Source organism: Homo sapiens, chromosome 14 (genome assembly GCF_000001405.40).
Source record: "Homo sapiens chromosome 14, GRCh38.p14 Primary Assembly".
In the NCBI taxonomy this organism is placed as follows: domain Eukaryota; kingdom Metazoa; phylum Chordata; class Mammalia; order Primates; family Hominidae; genus Homo; species Homo sapiens.
The window spans coordinates 57861690-57881845 of NC_000014.9; the positions used below are offsets into that span (position 1 = coordinate 57861690).

Below are 20156 nucleotides of genomic sequence, written 5' to 3' on the forward strand. Positions count from 1 at the left end.
TGACCTTTCAATAGCATTGGACTCAGCTAAACTCTTCCCCTTCAAACTCTTTATTTACTGGCTTCCAGGGTAACACATGTTCCTGGTTTTCCTCCTATCTCCCTGGATGCTCCTTCTTGATCTCCTTTGATGGTTTTCTTCTTCTCCTGAACCTCTTAATGTCAGAATGTCTCAAAATTCAATTCTTCTGCCTCTTCTCTTCTCTATATGCATTCATTCCTTGGAGGTCTCATCCAGTCTTAGGCCTTAAATACCACCCAAGTACTGGCAAATCCTTAATTTATATCTCCAATCAGACATCTACTCTGAACTCTAAGCTTACTCTACATCTCCAATTACATTTAGTATCTCTAAAACGTTATCCTTATCCCCTGACAATCCACCCCCCACCCCTTTCCAAAGTTTCTCTACCTTGAAACCTTCCACACTTCAGCTGATGGCAACTCAAACTTAGTCAAACCAGAAAAGATGCAGTCATTTTTTACTCCTATCTTTCTTACAGATACCATATCCAATCTATCAGGGTACCCTATTGGCTCTAATTTCAAATATATGCAGACTCTGACCACCTTTCTCTTCTTCTAGTGCTACAACTCTGGTTCAAGCCACCATCATGTCTCACCTACGTTATCACAATAACATACTAATTAGGTGTTTTCACCCTGTCCCAGTACAGCAGTGAGACTGATCTTTGTGTAAGATAAGTCACATCACTCTTCTCCCAAAACTCTTCAAATGCTCATTTCATTCAGAATACAAGCCAAAGGATTGACAATGACCTCTAAGGCCCTCCTTTATCTGCACTCCTGGATCCTCAGTGACCTCATCTCCAACCACTTTCCCAATTGTTCACTCCACTTCAGCCATACAGGCCTCCCTGCTGTTTCTCCAGCATGCTAGTTGTACTCTACCTCAGATCTTTGCGCTAGCTATTCCCACTGCCCAGAATGTGTTCTTCTGGATGTCCATATGGCTAACTCCCTCATATCCTTCAGGTCTTTGCTGAATTGTTACTTCCTCAGTGAGGACTTCCCTGATGAGCCTATTTAAAATTGTGATAATTTCTACCCCCAGAATATTTTATCCTTTTTATCCTGTTGTAATTTTTCAAAAGGCACTTATCACCTTGAAACATACTAAATAATTTATGTACTTGTTTATTTCTTTATTGTCTTGTTTGCTCCCACTAGAACTTAAGTTCTTAAAAGGAAAATACTTTTGTCTGTTTTGCTCATTGGTGTACTCCTGACACATAGGAGGTGCTCAATTAACACTTGTTGAATGAATGAATCTATTCCCTACCTAAGTAACCACACTATGCATTAATCATCTTTTTTAAAAAAAATGTTTAAATAAATATAGAAACAGTGTCTCACTACATTGGTCAAGTTGGTCTTGAACTCCCGGCCTCAAGCAATCCTCCTGCCTTGGCCTCCCAAAGTGCTAGGATTACAGACATGAGCCACTGCACCCACCTTTAATCATCTTTGTATCCAGATTTCTTATTTATATTTACTCAATAACTGTTCATTAATTGAACAGGATAAATAAAACAAATGCCCTATTGCCCATTAAAGTACCTTCATTTATCTGAATTCTATCATGTTTCTTTTTTTGCATCAGCCTGACTACTAGAATTTTTTCTGAACAAGGTACAAGCAAACAGCAGGATGCATTAACAGAAGGCTTGATCTTCAGTGCATTTTCTTAGAGGTAAGTCCCCGTCTATCTCCAAAAAGGTAAATGGCATAGATATCTAGAGATTGTCCTTCATATGTGATCAGACAGGAAATGAGAAAGTCACCTTGCTTTCACATATTATATATTCATCACTGTAGCCTTTTCTTAAGTATATTTTTCCAGACTTCCCCTAAGCTGTTGCTCATTCCCTGTAACAGCCAAATCAATTGACCATATTGTACTGGTTTGCTTCAGTGTGTTTGTTTACTAGTTGAAGCCTGCATTAGGACAGGATTATTTCATGGTGCTCGGTTCCCTGGCCCTCCTCCAGCTTTCTCCTCTCTCAATCTCTCACTGTGCAAAATAGCAATCTTTCTCTACTTCCGAAAGCATGAGCATCCTGAGATTTATCTGACTATCACTTAATTCTCTCTTCTTGTGAGATTCTCTGCCTTCACTCTTTTAACTCTACGGTCTGAACTTAGGTAGGTAAGTGCCCATCACAAATAACCATGCCAAGTTAATCTTTATCCCTTTTGGCTACCAGTTATAGCCTTGGCCAGTGCTCTTCCCTTTTTTTGTCCTGTTATTGTGTTGCAAATGAAGCATGTGCAGCTATTTGAGCAAGTACAAAAATATAATATGAACATGTTCTTATCTAAAATGTCACTTTTTCAGTATTCTTTTTGGGTTGTTCATTGTTAGCCAAAGTTCCATTGTCATAAAAATTACAATAATAAACCACCCTGAGTCTTGTAATTTCACACACAGCTTCTACATTCTCTAAGCCACTAAAATCCCATGGTTCCTAATTAAAATATTCAAAGGTGAAAGTCAAGTAATTTCCACAAGATATATTAGTTCCTTTACTTATGTTTCCAGGGTTAAAAAAGAAATCCTTTGCCAATAAAAAAGGAGAAGTTTTTGAGTGTATAGTACTTCAAAGGGCATTCCACAGTGTGTTATTTTCTTTCCAGAAAATTCTAACACTATATAATTACTTTTGTATGGAAAATGAATAATTTAAGCCCCTAATGCTAAAAACAGCTAGACAGAAACCATCCAAATCAGATAGGCCTTTCCTGAAACCAGATGAAATATCGAACTAGAAAATATCTGTGTGAGAACAGCCCATGGAACAAAGCTCTTGAATTATTATTCAATAGAGAGGAAGCATGGTAGGGGAGAAAGTTACATGAAAAAATAGTGTTTTCTTGTCTTTGTGCCGGAATTTTTGTGGGTCCCACGCATCACAGAAACTGTAATGTTGATTGCACCCCAAATGTCATAGAAAAATACGTATCAGAAATGCATCTAGGAGCTTCCAAGCTTCTGACAACAATAACGGCAAAAACATCAATTAAGCTTCATCTGTTGCAACAGAAATGCATTGATAAAGAAAAAAGCGAAAGCCCACCTGCATAGAAACTAAACCGCAGCTACTCCTCCAATTCGAAGAAAAATGAGCTGCACTTCAGTCGCCAGTAGAACTAATCCCAGCAAATATAGCTAGTGGGTTTGTGTACTGGGGGAGGGGGACTGCGAGCAGAGCACACCTCATCGCCCTCCCACCAAAACTGGTCCAAAAACGTGAAAGCATCCACGCCGCATGACCTCGCTTAGCTGGAAGAAAGCGGTGACCGCGACGTGCGGCGGGGGCGGGTGGCCCTGTCGCCTCCCCTTCTCAGACCCCCCCCCCCCACGCCCCCAGTCTTTTGCACGGGTCTCTGGCTCCAAGCTCTGGGGCTCGGAGACCTGAGCAGGTTCTTTTCTCTTCCCAGGGTGAAGAACCTCCTAAAGATACTGTAACCGGAGTAACTCCCGCGCTGGCAGCGTCTCAACAGCCCGGAGTGAACGAGCTGACCCCACCAGCGCCGGGACCCACGTCTGGGTCGGCCGCCCCCGCCAGCCCCACCCCCGAGCCTCCCCAGCCTGCGTCCCCAGCGCCCCGCACGCAGTAGGGGCTTTCGGGGCATGTATCCCCTAGGGCTGACTTTCCGCTAAGTGAACAGCCATGTTAGCCTCCTCCGGGCGTAAATCCACCAGGGTGAGCCGGCCAACGGCGGTCAGGAGCGCTCACCAGGTCCCCTCCGCACCTCCCCCCAAGGCTACGACTGTTTCCAAACTCCTGGGCGCACCCAGCCGGGCCCCTTGCCCTCTCACGGTTCAGCACCGAGGACAGCGGACATACTTTTCTCCCCGGGGGGTCCCCGCCGCCAGGAAGGCGGTGTTGACAGCGTCCGCAGGGCTGCAGGTGTCCGTACCGCGCGCCCGCCCGTCCGCATCCCCGCGGCACCCCTGCGCGCCCACCTCCCTTCCCCGCCTCGCGCAGGGCAGCCGCGCGGCGTCTTACTTTTCTGGCTGGAGTAACCTGGATAATAGCCATAGTAGCCGGTGATCCGCAGGATCCGGTCCTCGATAGTGGCCACCCCGTTGGGGGCCGCCTTGACATCCATAGAGAGCGCGGGGCGACGGCCCCGAGTGCGGCGGGGCGGAGAGCGCAGCGCGGGGCCCGGGAGCTGGTGCAGGTGCCGGAGCCGCTGGTGCTGATCTTGCAGCTCCTGCTCCCGCGCCCGGGCTCTGACTCCACCGCCCGGCGCAGCACCGGCTCCGCATCACAGCGGCGGCGGCGGCGGCGGCGGCGGAGCGGCCCCCACTCGGGCCGGCCTCTCCGTCAGCCTGGCAGCTCTCCCGCGCGCCACCCGGAGCACTGCTGCCCGAATAGCGCCCCCTCACCTCCGACGCCCACCGTGGCCGGGGGCGGGTGTGGGCGCCCCACCTGGTCGCCAGCTTTCATCATTAACCCTTGCGCGATCCTTCCCGAAAACTAGACACCCCAACCCCACCTGATGAAAGGGATGTTTGGTCAGTGGGGCGCGAGAGGAGAAGGCGACGGTGGCCAGGGGCTCAGAGAAGGGTGTTGGGAGTGGGAGAAACCCAAGAGGGACTCATAGCTGTTAATGCGAGGCATTAACTCTGTCGCTCGGGGAGAAGACACTTCTGGGGCGCCCCGGGACTCGGTCCACGCTTGGCGTCTACACCACCTCTGGTCTGCTGATATGCAAGCATTCCCCCGCGTTAGTCAGTCCTTGCAACTTGTCTAGAAGACTGGGAATCTTTTTTTATGAAATGACAAGAAAATTAGTTCCCGGCAGGTGGTATATGGAGTGATTATCCAGGTTTTGCAGACGCAAAGACTGTAAGTGTTCAAGCGCTCAAGTCTGACTGTCCATACGGACCCTCCATCCTGCCACTGAAAAATGTCAAAGGCTTAGAAGATTCAGCTGCACACAGCACGTTTATTTTTCCAATTTCAAATGCTCTGAGGAGAAATGATTTTCTCCTTTATTGCCAAAAATATCAGGAGGGAAGTCCTTCAAACTGTAAATATCTGGACGAGTGAAAGTCTTAGCTACAGTCTAGAGCCTTTCCATTAGAGCAGAACATCCTTGAAGCTGTGTGTTCAGAGCGAACACCCTCCCCTCAGGTGTGGGACTCTTCTGCTTTAGCCAGAGACCCAATGGGTTAGGGTCAGTGAGCAGTGGAGACGATTCCTCTGTTCATAGTCTGCAGACACAGCTTCCTGCAAATAATAATAATAATAATAATAATAATAATAATAATAATAATAATTTTCAAAGTTTCATCTCAGAAATGAAAAGGTGGAGGTGGAGGGTTAGTGGAGGGGAGGGTCAGCTCATCAGCTTAGAGGCAATTTAGGTCCACCTTCCGTGCAGAGCTGGCTTAAGACATCCCTGCCAGGTTTCATATTACTAAAGCTTAGGGAGAAGAAAAAAAGAGAAACAAAAGTCGACTTCAATGCCCCTCTCAGAAACCTCCAGAGAACCTATCACACCATCCTGCCTCCAAGCATTTTCCACATTGTGTGTGGGCCCTTAAGAAGGAAGAAATATGCAAATTTTTTTTCTAAAAGGTAAATTAGGTTTAAGCATATGAAAACGCAATATTAAATTTTACAATATGTTTTGGGTTTTCATCCAAACACAAAGCTTAGCACGGGATCTTGAGAGTGGAGTCAATCTGAGATTATTGTGGCTGGAAGGAGAGTTCATAAAGAAACCAATTTCCTCCTACACCTGTTTTCTGGGCTAGGAAAGATGGAAGGGTGGAAAGAGCTAAAAGGTCAAAAGGAACTAAAAGGAAAAACCAACACTAGTGCAGTGATGGGGAGCTAGCCATATAAAGCAAAAATGAAAGCGTTATGCCTTTACACCCCCCCCCACGTGAAATAATATTCAGCACACTTTTGTTAGTTTTATTATTTCTGTGGCAAAATTATATCAAATGCATGTATTGCACATGGTAAAATGTGTTCATCACATATAATTTTAAATGTCACTTTTGTTTGAAGTTTCTATGAAAGATAAATTTTCCAATATTACATATATTATATATTTTGATAATAGCCATCATAATCCATAGCACATTAATATATATATCAGTAAGAGAGAAATTAGGAAACAATTCAAGCAAAAACCTTCTGATGTAACAGGAATATATATGTATACACATACATACACACACACATATGCAGACTTAAAAACAAGTGGTTTTTCCCATTGCTTATAACTTATCTTGCCATAATTAATGTACTTAAATTATAAATAACAATTACCGTGTAAGTCATTACCTTCTTCCTGCTTTTGCTTTATTTTCATAAATCTCCATAGAAGTAGATAAAAATGTATTTAACTGGATCTGATCATTCATATAAACAGTAAATTCAGCATAAATTTAAATACTACAATGTAAACATACCCGCAAGAGTCTATGTTTTCTTTTGAAAAAGTAAAAATTTTCAGACTGACCTGGAAATAAATTTTAAAATAGCAAAGCACTTACAAATCTCTCTATAATCATCTGTAATAGGATGACCAAAATAGTAAATGCCAGCAAGTGCTATAATCTAGGCCACACTTTTAATGGAAGGAACTGAAATCCTACAATTATAAATTGATAAACAGTCAAAGGTAAATTTCTGCTAGTCATGAACACTCTTGGCATATATGATAAAAGATGTTTTAATCTTTCAATAGTCATTTTAGACGTTATTAACAATTTACAGAAATTATTTTGAAGAAAGGATAATTTTTTTTTTTTTTTGAGACAAAGTCTCACTCTGTCACCCAGGCTGGAGTGCAATGGTGCAATCTCGGCTCACTGCAACCTCCGCCTCCCGGGTTCAAGTGATTCTCATGCCTCAGCCTCCGGAGTAATTAGGACTACAGGCACCCGACACCACGCCCAGCTAATTTTTTTGTATTTTTAGTAGAGATGGGGTTTCACCATGTTGGCCAGACTGGTCTCGAACTCCTGACCTCAGGTGATTCACCAAAGTGCTGGGACTACAGGCATGAGCCACCGTGCCCGGCGGAAGGAAGGATAACTTTTAAAGCATTTTTATGTTTGCATGTTTAGTCTACCAGTTTTCACAAACCCAAATATTCAAATTTACAAACTATGAGTTGCAATGTATGCCTCAAATCTATTCTGAAAGAATAAAGAAAAGACACAACTTAATAAATGAAGATTGAAGGTCATTATTTGATTCATAAAATAGTTTATCATGATAGCCCTTCACATAGCCAGTTTCTCTAGTAGTTGTAAATTATAATTCGATTTGTTATAAAACAAAATTTGTTTTTTGTGCGCTCTTCAGGAATTTTTTAATGCATCAAGCAGAGGGTATCTATCTGTGATCCCAGATGAGTTTTGATATATGAGCCATATGGATTTTGATCATCTGATCAAATCAGATTAGCTATTTATACTAATTGAGTATACAATTAGGTATTCACGTGTTGTGGTTTTTTTTTTTTTTAAAAAAAGCCAAATCATTTGTAAAGTAGTTCATGGGATGATCACTTACAGTCCTTGTGTCTGATGCTAGAATAGCTATACCAAGTAATAACATTAAAACTAAATATGATCACTGGGTATAAATTTTATTCAAAGATAAGCAGTCTGAAAATACCATATCAGTCTATACACTTTGGAAGGGTTAGTAAAATAAAATCCATGGAATCTAGTCTTCTGTACTTTAATTAGCAGAAAGGGATCAGAAAATCTGGGCTTTAGTCGTCTTTTTATGGCAGGAATAAGACACCTAATCTTTCTATTCACCTATTTGAAGTTACCACTGAAAGATGCTGAAAGAAGGGGAAATGATCTTTTTCCCCTCTGGGAAATTAGTATATTTTACCTATCTCCTTGGGCTAAAAGTAACTTGGCTGCTTGGAAAGCCAAGAATCTTTAAGCTTTTATAGTCAAGGGCCAATGTTACTTTGTACAAACACCAGCACTGTTTACAAAGAGTTGACCCCAAGAAATTTAAACAGTGTTAGTGTTTAAAAGCATCTGGCTTCTAGCCAACCAGGTGATAAGAAATGGCACCTGAGAAAGAAAAAGCATGCTCTTAATATTCCATTTTCAGGGAAGTTGTTTTGAGTATTTAACTGCCAAGTCATCAGCCACCCCATTTGGAATGCTGACACAGCCTTTCTGTTTCAATAGTAGGCAATGGCAGACATTGCTAATTTACCTTTCAGCTCAAAGGGGCTGGGTGTCTGTATGAGAAGACAGGGCAGAGTCCACTCTTCATTGGCCTCAGGTGCCAGGCTGCATCCCAGGACTAATTTTGAGGCTCAACTCTTTGGAAAGGCACTGAACCTCTTTGGAGAAAGTCTTAAGTAATTTCAACATATATATTCAAATTTTAGAATTTGTCTATGATCTGTGTGTGTGTGTGTGTGTGTGTGTGTGTGTGTCTGTGTCTCTCCCTGTGTCTCCCTCTCTCTCGGTCTGTTTTTCTGTCTTTGTCTCTCTGAGTCTGTGTGTGTCTGTCTATCTCTCTGTATGTTTCTCTCTGTCTCTGTCTTTCTCTTTCTCCTTCTCCCTACAGCATTATACTGTACTCGGCAGTACAGCACAGTGGTTTAAAGCACGGACTTTGGAGCAGACTGCCAGGAGTCATTTCTGACCTCATCATTTTCTAGCTGCGTGACCTTGGGTAAATCTTTTGAAATCTCTATGACTCAATTTTCTCATCTCTAAAATAGAAATATACACCTATATAGTGGAACTATCATGAGAAATAAATGAGTTTATACCCATAAAGATCTTATAACTGTGACTGGCATATAGTAAGCATCATATATATTAGCTATCAGTACTATTTTTATGCAGACATAGAACGCTTTGAGCTTCAGTTTCCTCCTCTGTAAAATGGGCTCATACTCTCTATTTCATAGTATTGCTGTGATGGTTAAGTGAGATCACATATTAAAATATTTTACGAAGGCCTGGCACATCGTGGGTACACAATAAATATTAATTTTCTTCTCCTAGCCCTGCCCCTGCTCTGTCCATTGTTTTTTACTGAAGTTGATTTACACTTTCACTCTCCATTCACACTCTTGGAGCTTCACTGTGGCAATTGCTTTTACAGGTCTCCTTTAATTCTTTCAACCATGGGTAATGATCACGTGAGGCAGACCTTGTGTGCCAATGGAATAAGTGGCTTCAGAAGTTCAGTGCTTTGCAGAAAGAGAAGCTGCTCAAGATCAGCAGCTCTTCTTGTCCTTTAAGGAAGCATGAGCACAGGAAGAGTTTACTTCATACTAGGAAAGGGACCGAGGCTGTTAATCCCCAGGTGTGGGAGGCACTCAGGTCCTGCTTGGTGAAGTGGAGCAGCCTCAGAGGGATCATAGTGTGATGCCCCATGGGAGGCAGGCCCATTAGCCATTAGGCTTCCCAGCTTCAGCAGATATTCTGGTGCCTCCCAGCTTGTCCAGAAGCAGCAGAGTCCCCAGCCCCAGAGGGATCACATGTGGGCTTGACTATTGCACATTTCAGCAGTGCCCAGTGGACTGAAGATCAGACCTCCTTGATGCTGAGCTAAGCCAAAGATCTCCCCTGACTGCATAACTCTGCAGCAGGGGAGCCCCAACAAGACTGAGATTGCATTTCCCACTATTTTTATGAGGAATAGGGACTCAGAGTAAGATTTACAGTAATTTAAAGCAAATAAAGATTTTTTTAAACCCTTTTGAACAGCTGTGTTGGTGGTTATACATTCAAACCTGCTACATATTCATTTTACAAATAAGCCTTTCTGTAATTTAAACGTCTAAAAATGCCATGCACACCACAGCCTCAAACCTGCTGCATATTACTTGTCACACAAGCTTTCTGTAACATTAACTGCTAAAAATGCCAACCCTGCTGTGGTAGTCATTGTTACTGTTTGCCAAATAGTCATGGTTCTCCCCCATTTTAGGCATACCACAGGACTGCACTTCCTGCCCCCTTGTGGTTGTAGTGGGGCTGTGTGACTAATTCTGGTTGTGAACAAAAAAGCAATTATCATCTCAGTCAGAGCTAATACTAGACACTCAAGGGTTTTCTCTTTTTCCCTCTGGCCCCATGACCATCAGCATTCAGGATGACTCTGATACATACAAAGTAAAGTTACTAAAAACTGTAATTGAAGAGTTTTAATTCCTTCCATAAATACTGCATTTAATTTTCAAGTTCTATTCTCTTCGTCCTTTGTTTTCCAAAGACATACTATGTATGTCTAAGATCACTAGTTCTTGAAGCAATTCATCAACAAATCATAGAGAAGACAAAACAAATTGTTGGAAAGAAACATTATGAGTGGCACAGAGAACCAGAGAGAACACAAAATTTGAAACTCGTTAGAATGCATCCATAAAACACAGACTCCAGAATACACGTTCAATACATCCACATCTTGAATGAGTACTATTGCCAAAAGCAATTTCAGAAATGACTTTGTCTTTAATTTCAAGAACTATTAATCTGCAGGAAATATATTCACAAGGTTTTATTTCATCATTATTTTCAGTATCTGTGATTCCCATCAGTAGAACTTGCTTTTTAAATGCCCTGAAATAATACAGAGGTACCAAAGTGGACATTCATCCTTTTTTTTTTTTAGTACCCAGCTGATGTGAGAGGAGGCTCCTGACAGAAAGAGCATACATTTCAAGAGAGAAGCTAAAAAGATCGCACCAAATAACTTTTATGCTCCAATTCATTTTCTTTTGTCTCACCTTTGCAGTGACCACCCTGTATGGATTGTCATTGATTCACCTAGACACAGCCTGACAGCACCTCACCTCATGCCAATGCTGGGCACCTCTAACCTCCTGCACCAGCATTTCCTTGTTGGTGCTGAGACATGAAAATGCATTTGCTTGGCTCAAGCACGTACAACCTGAAAGTGCAGGGGACAGATGTAACACTGGGCAAACCTGTGACAATGGGAAACAGGAGCTAGGGTATAAATTCTCCATTCCATTCTGAATGGACTTCCCTGAGAAGCTGTCACTTTTGCAGCCTCTTGCCCACAAGATCGTGCAACTAGTCAGACTGCTCAGTCTTCATGCTAAACTATGGTCAGCTCAGTCACATGCCCTCATATGTATACACCAGTACATAAAACCCTGCCTCTGCCTCAGGCTCTCTTTTCTGAAGAGCTCAGGTTAAGATGCCAATTTTCCCAGTCTCCTCACTTGGTCACTGGCACATACCCCTGCTCCACCAATCACAGCATCCATTCCAAATTTTGAATGGGAAGCCAAGTGGAGAAATCCTGGGCCATGTCTGCAATGGATATCAGCAGCTGTAACAGTAGTTGCAGCCACATTTTCCATTGTCCGTTTCAGTGATACGGGCTGTATAAACCTCAAGTTAAATATTTCCATTGTGGAAATTATGGGTTTGATTCTCCCCTGTAATCCATAAATGTATAACAGAACTTCGTATGTCCCCCTGGCTACCCCATAGCATTATCCCACGAAGGGTCAATTGCATTATAGTCTATCTTGCTGGCACCTCTCCAGTTGTGCTGTGAAAAAAACAAAGTCCTCTTCTGAACGCCAAGGGGGAAAAGAGCCTCAAGTAACATTTAAAGTCTCTACTAGTTCCATATTCCTATGCCACCCAGGTATTCATCATAGCATCACTGGTAATAATAAAATAATGTAATCAACTCAAATGTCCCAAAAATAGGAAAATGGTTTAGTAAATCACAATGTATCCATTGGGTAGAATACACTTTAGATATTAAAATTATGGCTATTGCTATGAAGACTACAAAGTGATGAGAAAAATCCTATGTTCTAATATTAAGTGGTGAAAAAAATCAGAATTCTAGATTGTATACGGATGTCTACTACAATTACATATTTTTTAATGCAGGGGGAAAATAGTTAAGATACTCAAAATTCAAAAAATGGTGATAAGAGGAGTGAAATTATAAGTAATCTTCCATTTTCCAAGTGTTCTGAAATATAATTTGCTAATATTAAAGTGAATACAAACACACACACACACACACATGACAAACCCTGAAACCCTTTCCCAGATCTTTATTCTCCAGCATGGCTTGTTTTATGTGCAATGTGCTGGAGTGTGCCGCCTGCCTGCACACCATCTTTTTAGCAATCGCAATTATCTCCTTTCCATGGAATGTGATGAAGCCTGACTAAAGGTCTCTAATTCTTCTGTCTTTCCATGTTCTCATAAATAATAAAACAGGGCTCCATGACAACAAGCACATAAAAAGTTTTGTAAAATCTCAAAGTAGCCCTAAAATGTTTACATTCTTAAGCTAATAAAGTGCTCTAAGTACAGTTATTTGGACATCAGTATTACTTGCTTCTATGCAGTGGAGCCAAGTGATAAGAACATCCATGCTTGGACAGTCCCTACAAATGCATCTTCATCTGACTACTACTACTCCTCCCTCAGCTGTTTCAAAAGGATTTTCTTCTCTGGGAAGGCTTCTCTGCTAACCCCATCCTCCTTCCTGGAGGAGCCAGGTATTTGCTCCATAATAGCTCTTTCCCTGCTGTGTAATCTTCTCGACAGTGCATACTTAAGTTCCTCAAAGGTGGTGACTGCATTTTGTTCACCAAGGTATGACCAGTGCTTCTCAGAGTACCTGTCACATACCAGGCAATCAAAACACATTAAAGGTTGAAGAAATCATTGTAACAAACAAAAGTTTTCATCAGAAGCCTAGGATCACTTTCTCAAAGTACGAGCAAGGCACAAACACTCAAGATAGGTTGACTTGTCTCAGGACCAGAAATGTAATAACTTGCCCAGTGCAAAGTTTACAAAGAAGGAAACTGAGGCTAGAGGGCTAAACAGATGGTTCAGAGGCCCCTCGATGAGTCTCTGGAAGCCCTTCTCACTCTCAGTGGATCATCTTTCCCCTGACCCTGTGCAATGCCATCTTCGGCTATGTGGCTTTCTAACTGCTCCTTATGTGCAATCAAATCAAATCTACTCATGTTGCCATCCCTCCCCACCACCTTTCCAAATCAGACCATATGCTTCTCTTCTTATCCTTCTTTCTGTCTTCCTCTGGCTGAGCCCTGGGCTTGGTAGACAGAAGGAATGCCCATCAAGGGTTCTGTTAAATTTAAATCCAAGACGATGTCTATTTTCCAAAGTTTGTGTGAGTTATGTTTCTGGTGTAATCAGTAACTGACTACTTATCCAATCTGTCAACTGTTACTCCTAATCTTTTGGAAGAGGCAGTGGAATAAATAAATAAATAAATAAATAAATAAATGATTTCATGGTGTCTTTAGATAAGAGTAAATGGATGGAATTATATATTTTTTCTTATTATGGAATTGACATTGTCAACATTCACTGCCATTCATAGCATGGGCTCAATTTGATAAATCTTTTGTGAATTATAATTAATTTAGAGATTTGAATCTCCTCTTTATGTGTAATCTCCTACTGAAATATTCAGGAGACTTGTTTACTTGTTTCTTCATTGGTTCAGGTAAAGAAATCATCAGCTGGGCATGCAAAGGTGATAAGCACATGCTATCTTCTTTCTTTTTCTCTAATTTCCTTCCTTTCTTCATCCTACTCTGCTCTGAAATTCACTAGGACTTACTACCACGGCAGTAACGTCAAAATAGTAGTGTTATTGTCTAGCTTTTACTGCATACCAAACAACTCCAAACCTTAGTGGCTTAAAATAACAACCATTTATTACTTCTCATGAACTATTAGTCACTTGCATGGTTCTACTAATCTGGCCAGGCTTGGTTGATCCTGGATGGGCTTGCTTATGCATTTGTGGTCAGCAGGTAGATCAGCTGGGGACTGAATAGGATAGGCTCTTTCACACGTCTAGTGGATGGGAGATTGGGATAACTGGGCCACATATCTCATGACCCAGCAGTTCAGTCCAGGCTTATTCATGACAGCAGCAAAATTCCAAGAGTAAGAGTTAAGAATGCAAAGCCTCTTGAGGCCTAGACTCAGAACTTGCTTCTTTCATATTCTATTGGCCAAAGTAAGTTGCAGGTTAACTCAGATTGATTAGGTGGAGAAATGGATTCTGCCTCGTGGTGAGATTGCTGCAAACAATTGTGGCCATTCTTGGATTCTGCTACATCCAACTAATGTAAATCAATGCCAATGTTGTTAAGCAGATTGATCAGAGACTTGATGAGAATGTCCTTTCTGCAGAATGTGTCTTTTGATAGAATTCCTGGGTTCTAGATTAGCAAAGCAATCTTCCAACCATGGGTTAACAGAAGCAATGTGGAAGTAACTTCATTAAGCAAAATCTGGCATTAAAAGGTTACCTGCAACAACGAGATTTGGTCTGAATAGAAACTGCAACCTTTTGCATGACATGTAATTCCAAACCTTTTGACTTCAAAATGGGGAGGAAGGAGTCAGACACCCACACATGCTGGGTCTGCATAATGTTGGTACAATCAGACATAGAACAAAGCAATGCAGTAAGTTTCACATAGCAGGGCTGTTCCCACAACCAAGATGAAAAGGGAAACCTGTAAAGTTACGGCATTCTAACTTACCCTTTGTGCTTACCCTTTGTGGGGGCATTTATCACACTACAGAGTGAAGATCTGATTGCCTTCCATCTCTGCTATATTTCTACTTTCTTAGGGACATGAATAAATCTTTTAAATTCATATTTCTTGTGTATAATACAAAACCTGGCTGCTGAAAAAAATGAGAGCGCGAGGGAGTTATTTCTGTGACTCAGAAAAAGACTAGCCCAATATAACCACATTTATATTTTTAGAATGTCTATTTGCAACCAAATACTCAAAGATTCTGCCATATAAAAATTACAGAATTACTAGGTGAAAATAAGTTACTTCTTATAAAAACAAAAACATCACTGTCGAGCTTAAGATTGAAGAAGTTGGTTGTGTTCAAGTTATAATCTTGAGAATGGATTGAGAAATGCATGTTTTTGCTTAATAAGTGAAGAAAAATTCTTAAATTTTCATAAATTTTCATCTAAAATCTCAATTTACAATTAAACACAGCAGCAACATTGGATATATACAAAGTATATGCACTTCAGATCAGGGACCCCTTATTCTTAACTAATCTAAAACCCAGGTTTAAAGACTAGTGGGCTACCTATCCTTCAGGGAAGTCTCTGTAAATGATTATTCCTAATGAGGAACTGGTAAATAGCAGCAAATCCTGTAGATAGTTTCCGATAGGTCTTTTTCTCTCCTTTTTCAGCTCAGCTACCCAAGGACAGGTGACCCATCTTTTTTTTTTCTTCTTTCCAACTTGTATTTTTGGTTCAGTGGGTACATGTGCAGGTTTGTTACGTGGGTAAACTGCGTGTCACACGGGTTCACGGTACAGATAATTGTGTTACCCAGGTCATGAGCCTAGTACCTGATAGGCAGTTTTTCAATCCTTTCCCTCCTCCCACCGTCCACTCTCAAGCAGGCTCCATTGTCTATTGTTCTCTTCTTTGTGTCCATGTATATTCAGTATTTAGCTCCCATTTGTAAGTAAGAACATGCAGCATTTGGTTTTATGTTCCTGTGTTAATTGACTTAGGGTAATAGCCTCCATCCATGTTGTTGCAAAAGACATAATCTTGTTCTTTTTGATGACTCTGTGGCATTCCATGATACATGTGTACCACATTTTTATTATCCAGTCGACCATTGATTGCCATCTAGGTTTATTCCATGTCTGCTATTGTGAATATTGTTGCAATGAACATACACAAGCATGTTCTTTATGATAGAACAACTTATATTCTCTTGGGTATATACCCAGTAATGGGATTGCTCAATCAAATGGTAGTTCTATTTTAAGTTCTTTGAGAAATTGCCAAACTGCTTTCAACAGTGGCTTAACTAATTTACATTCCCACCAGTAGTATATAAGTGTTCCATTTTCTCCACAACCTTGCCAGCATCTGTTATTTTTTGACTTTTTTTTTTTTTTTTTTTTTTTTTTTTTGAGATGGAGTCTTGCTCTGTTACCCAGGCTGGAGTGCAGTGGCAGATCTCAGCTCACTGCAACCTCTGCCTCCTGGGTTCAAGCTATTCTTCTCTCTCAGCCTCCCAAGTAGATGGGATTACAGGCTTATGCCACCATACCTGGCTAATTTTTGTATTTTTAGCAGAGATGGGGTTTCACCATGTTGGCCAGGCTGGTCTTGAACTCCTGACCTCAGGTGATCATCCTGACTCAGCCTCCCAAAGTGCTGGGATTACAGGCATGAGGCACCATGCCCAGCCATTTTTTGACTTTTTAATAACAATTCTGACTGATGTGAGATGGTATCTCGTTGTGGTTTTGGGTTTGCATTTTTCTAATGATTAGTGATATTGAGCATTTTTTCATATGCTTGTTGGCTGCATGTATGTCTTCTTTTGAGAAATGCCTGTTCATGTCCTTTGCCCATTTTTAATGGGGCTGTTTGCTTTTTGCTTGTTAAGTTCCTTATAGATTCTTGATATTAGACCTTTGTTGGATGCATAGTTTGCAAGTATTTTCTCCCATTCTGTAGGCTGGTATGACCCTTCTTTTAGCCTGGATTACCACACAACTTTCTATCTGATCTTTTCCTATTCTAATTTGTTTTTCTAACCATAGCCAACCTGCTTCCTCAATAACAAACTTCTGCTTAAACAACTGAATGGTTCAACAGGACTCTTAGCATGAATCCCACACCCCTAATGATTGACTGCAGACTTTGGTCCCAGTCTACATCTCCAACCTCAACTCTGTGACTACTCCCCTCATTCTAAATTCCTGAATGAACTCTTTTGAGATCTCTGAAAAAGCTATGGGCTTTCTCACCTCTGGATTTTTATACATGCTGTTCCCTCTATCTGGAACACTCTCTCCCTCAACTCTTTGCCCCCTGCCTTGTCTGGGACTTTTCCTTCACATCTCAACCAAGAAGCTGCTTCATCAAGAAAGTCCTTATTTGTCTGTTTCCCTCTCTAGACTGTAAATACAACAAGGACAACCGCATTTTTTTTTATTGTTGTTGTTCACTATTGTATTCCCAACATCTAGTATAGTGCCAGGCACAGAGTAGGCACTTCATAGATATTTCCAAAATTAGTTGATTAATTCATTAATACTGGTTATCAAAGACAAGTCCTTGGAGCCAAATGTTCTATGTCACTCCTTCAAGGAAGATCTATTTACCTTCTTTAAGAAACAACAAGTATAAAGGTATTGTTTTGATGTTGTCTTATGAACATTGACAAACCAGCACTTGGGCCCATATTGAAGGACATACCATCTCTGCCATCTCCATCCAGGCAGGGCCAAAATTTTCCTCAGAAAACAAGTCATGATCCACTTCTAAAGAGGAACATATGGGTAATTGCGGCCCCAATATTTTATGCCCTTAGAACATGATCAGAATTTTAGTGCAGGAAAAACTCTAAAGTAGGAACTGCCAAATCTTATATTCCAAGGAGTTTTGCAAGGTACTTGGCATTGCACTTTTCAAGAAAGTATTTTGAGTTTAAGGATCTTATACCATTATGCAACAGTAGGAAGTCAGAAAACATAGGTTCTATCCTGCCTTTGTCGCTAAATACACTGCTCTTGGGGGTCATAATAAGACTCATTCCTTACCCTCGAGCTGAACAACTTAATCCTTCTGCCCCAGGCCTGGCTCTTCCCAGGGTCTAAACCATCAAGCCTGAGCCCTAGGAGTCCCTCAACAAATGCCACAAATGCAATAGGGTTCCCTGCTCTTACCTCCACCTCAGTCTGAGGATGTAAACTTTGATCTGTCCAACCATACGCTTCAGCCAAGCTGACGAGCTACTCCTGGTTGTTTTTCATCTCATGACTTTGCTGCTCCTTTTGCCTGGAAGAGTCACATTACCCTGACCCCTTTCAACACCACCATATTTCCCTGCCAGGAGAATGTTTTTCAAGTCTCAATTCAAGCACATCCTCCATTAAAACCTTTAATGAGTTCCCTGCCAGCATGGGAATCACCTTCCTTTGTGTCCTGTTGTGTCTGTTACTTACTTCCCTCACAGTACCTGTGGTGCTGTGTTGCAAGGATTATTCACAGGTCTATCTTCCTACTGGACAGTAAGCCTTATAAAGCCAGGATTAAGTCTATTTTGCTTTATATCCCCATTATAAAACTCTATATTTAGCACAGAGTAAGTGGGGAAGGAAGGGAGGAAAGGAGGGAGGGAGAGAAGGAGTGAGGTGGGGAGGGATTAAAGAAGGAAGGAAGGACGGAAGAATGGAGGGAAGGAAGGAAGGAAGGAAAGAGAAGGGAAAGGAAAGGAAAGGAAAGGAGGGAGGAAGGAAGGAAGGAAGGAAGGAAGGAAGGAAGGAAGGAAGGAAGGAAGGAAGGAAGGAAGGAAGGAAGGAAGGACAGTAGATCTTTTGAAATATTTTCAGGGCTTCACAGTTTCTACAGTTTCCTCATTTTTAAAATGGGGATAAAAACACAACTTACTTCCTAGAACTATCATGAGGATAAAATGAGATGGTGTACTTAAAGCAATTTGCATTTGTTTGCATGTAGTAAGAACTCAGTAAATGTAAAATAGTATTATCATATGAAAACTGGATATGATATATGGGTGGAATAAGGACTGAGGGCTTCTCCTCAACTTAAGGGGCATATTCCAGTGGTCCCCTGGCTGTGTAAAGGAAGAATGTGCTACCTCAAGAAGGAGTAAAATCCCTATCACAGGAAAATTCCCATCCTCATCTGGAGAGTTACCTGGCAGTGCTTTTACCAGGAATTCTTGATACCAGATTGAAGTTAATATTTCTCTTGATTTGGAGGTACATTGATGACAAAGTACCCCATTATATTTTAAATCTAGACATTGATGTCTAGCACTTTTAAAACAAAGTTTCTCTGAAGATACAACATTTGGGCAATGACACTAATTTTTCTACATTAAATAAAACATCATTTAAAGTGTTGAAGTTTGTAGCTGTGCTCAGAATGTATCCAGGAGGACACTGGGCAGATTGTCTGGAGATCTCATTGAGTGGTATTACCTTGGTGTTTCTCTGTGCTTCAGATTTTGATTTTCAACTTTGCAGGTCTTGTATTTGTTGGTACACCAAGAGCAGAGCAGACTCCTCGAAGAGGAACTCACGTTAAACAAACTCACAATACATTGATGAATAAATTGGATTTCTAAAGGATTCGTTCATAAAGGGAGACATGGTTGACACAGAATGCACAAATTGGCACAGATTTACATAGGAAGTCAAAATATAATCAGAGATTTGTTTGTTTGCTAAACCTAGATTCAAAGCAAAGAAAATTGAATACTACAAAATTTAACAGAATTATTCTCATGATATCCCTGACACTGGGAACAAATGCCCTCTCTACTCTGATCTGTGTAGAGCCCATGCTGACTGCCTCCTCCACGTCAAACTCACACATTTTTCCCTTAAACATACTAATGTCATTGATTAGCTGTAGGGTCAGCTCAGTATACTTTCAGATTCTGACCCTAGAAACAATTTGTACTTAAGGTGCCTTTTGCACACCTCTGAACTTATCTATTATGAGTTTATTTTCTCTGGAACTTTCAGATCATAAGGGTGCCTCCTACTCCTTCTATAGATGCCTCCTTCCAGTACTTCCCTCTACCAGGATTTTGTTGTGAAACAAAAGTCAGAAGCAACATATATATTTTAAATAAGTGAAGTATTCCACATATGTACATAATAAGGGGCATGGTGTCAATATAGTTGAAATATCTGTTGTGCCTCTTATATGTAAATGATTAAGATAATCAACTTCTCTAAAATCTGGGCTCCATTTTTTAAAATGGGCATAATAACATTTATCAGAAAGGGTTTTTGTAATGATTAAATAAAGAAAACAAGCCCAATAGAGTGACTGTTAAACAAATATTATTTCCCTTCCCCTTAATAAAATTATGACATTTATTGCAGTAATAGGGTTGCAAATTTCACTTACACTGCAACACAGTCATGCAGAGGAACATGTTGGTTCTTTATTTTGTCTGACTAATCTGATCTCCTTCTTGAACCCCTACTATGTAGATTTGGGGTTTTTTTAAAGTCTATTTAACCCAATCTGGTTTAAAGCTTAATCAAATATATAACGTAAA

At 40.9% G+C, this 20156-nt stretch overlaps 1 protein-coding gene across 13 annotated transcripts in view; it reads right to left on the reverse strand.

Moving 5' to 3' along the window:
- SLC35F4 (solute carrier family 35 member F4) overlaps positions 1-20156 on the reverse strand; it is a 419262-nt gene that overhangs the window by 297770 nt on the left and 101336 nt on the right. For 4 of the 13 annotated variants that reach the window (NR_159376.2, NR_159375.2, NR_159374.2 and 1 more), the window contains exon 1: positions 4034-4262. The exons of 1 other annotated variant lie outside the window; for it this stretch is intronic. Coding sequence is in view for 5 of the 12 variants with exons in the window: in NM_001206920.2 (NP_001193849.1) it covers positions 4034-4136 (103 nt within the window). In the remaining 7 variants the exon portion in view is untranslated. Of the gene's footprint in view, positions 1-3097; positions 3311-3871; positions 3989-4033; positions 4404-20156 lie in introns of those variants that run through there. 8 more of the 13 variants (NM_001206920.2, NM_001306087.2, NM_001352014.2 and 5 more) reach the window with 3 other exon arrangements.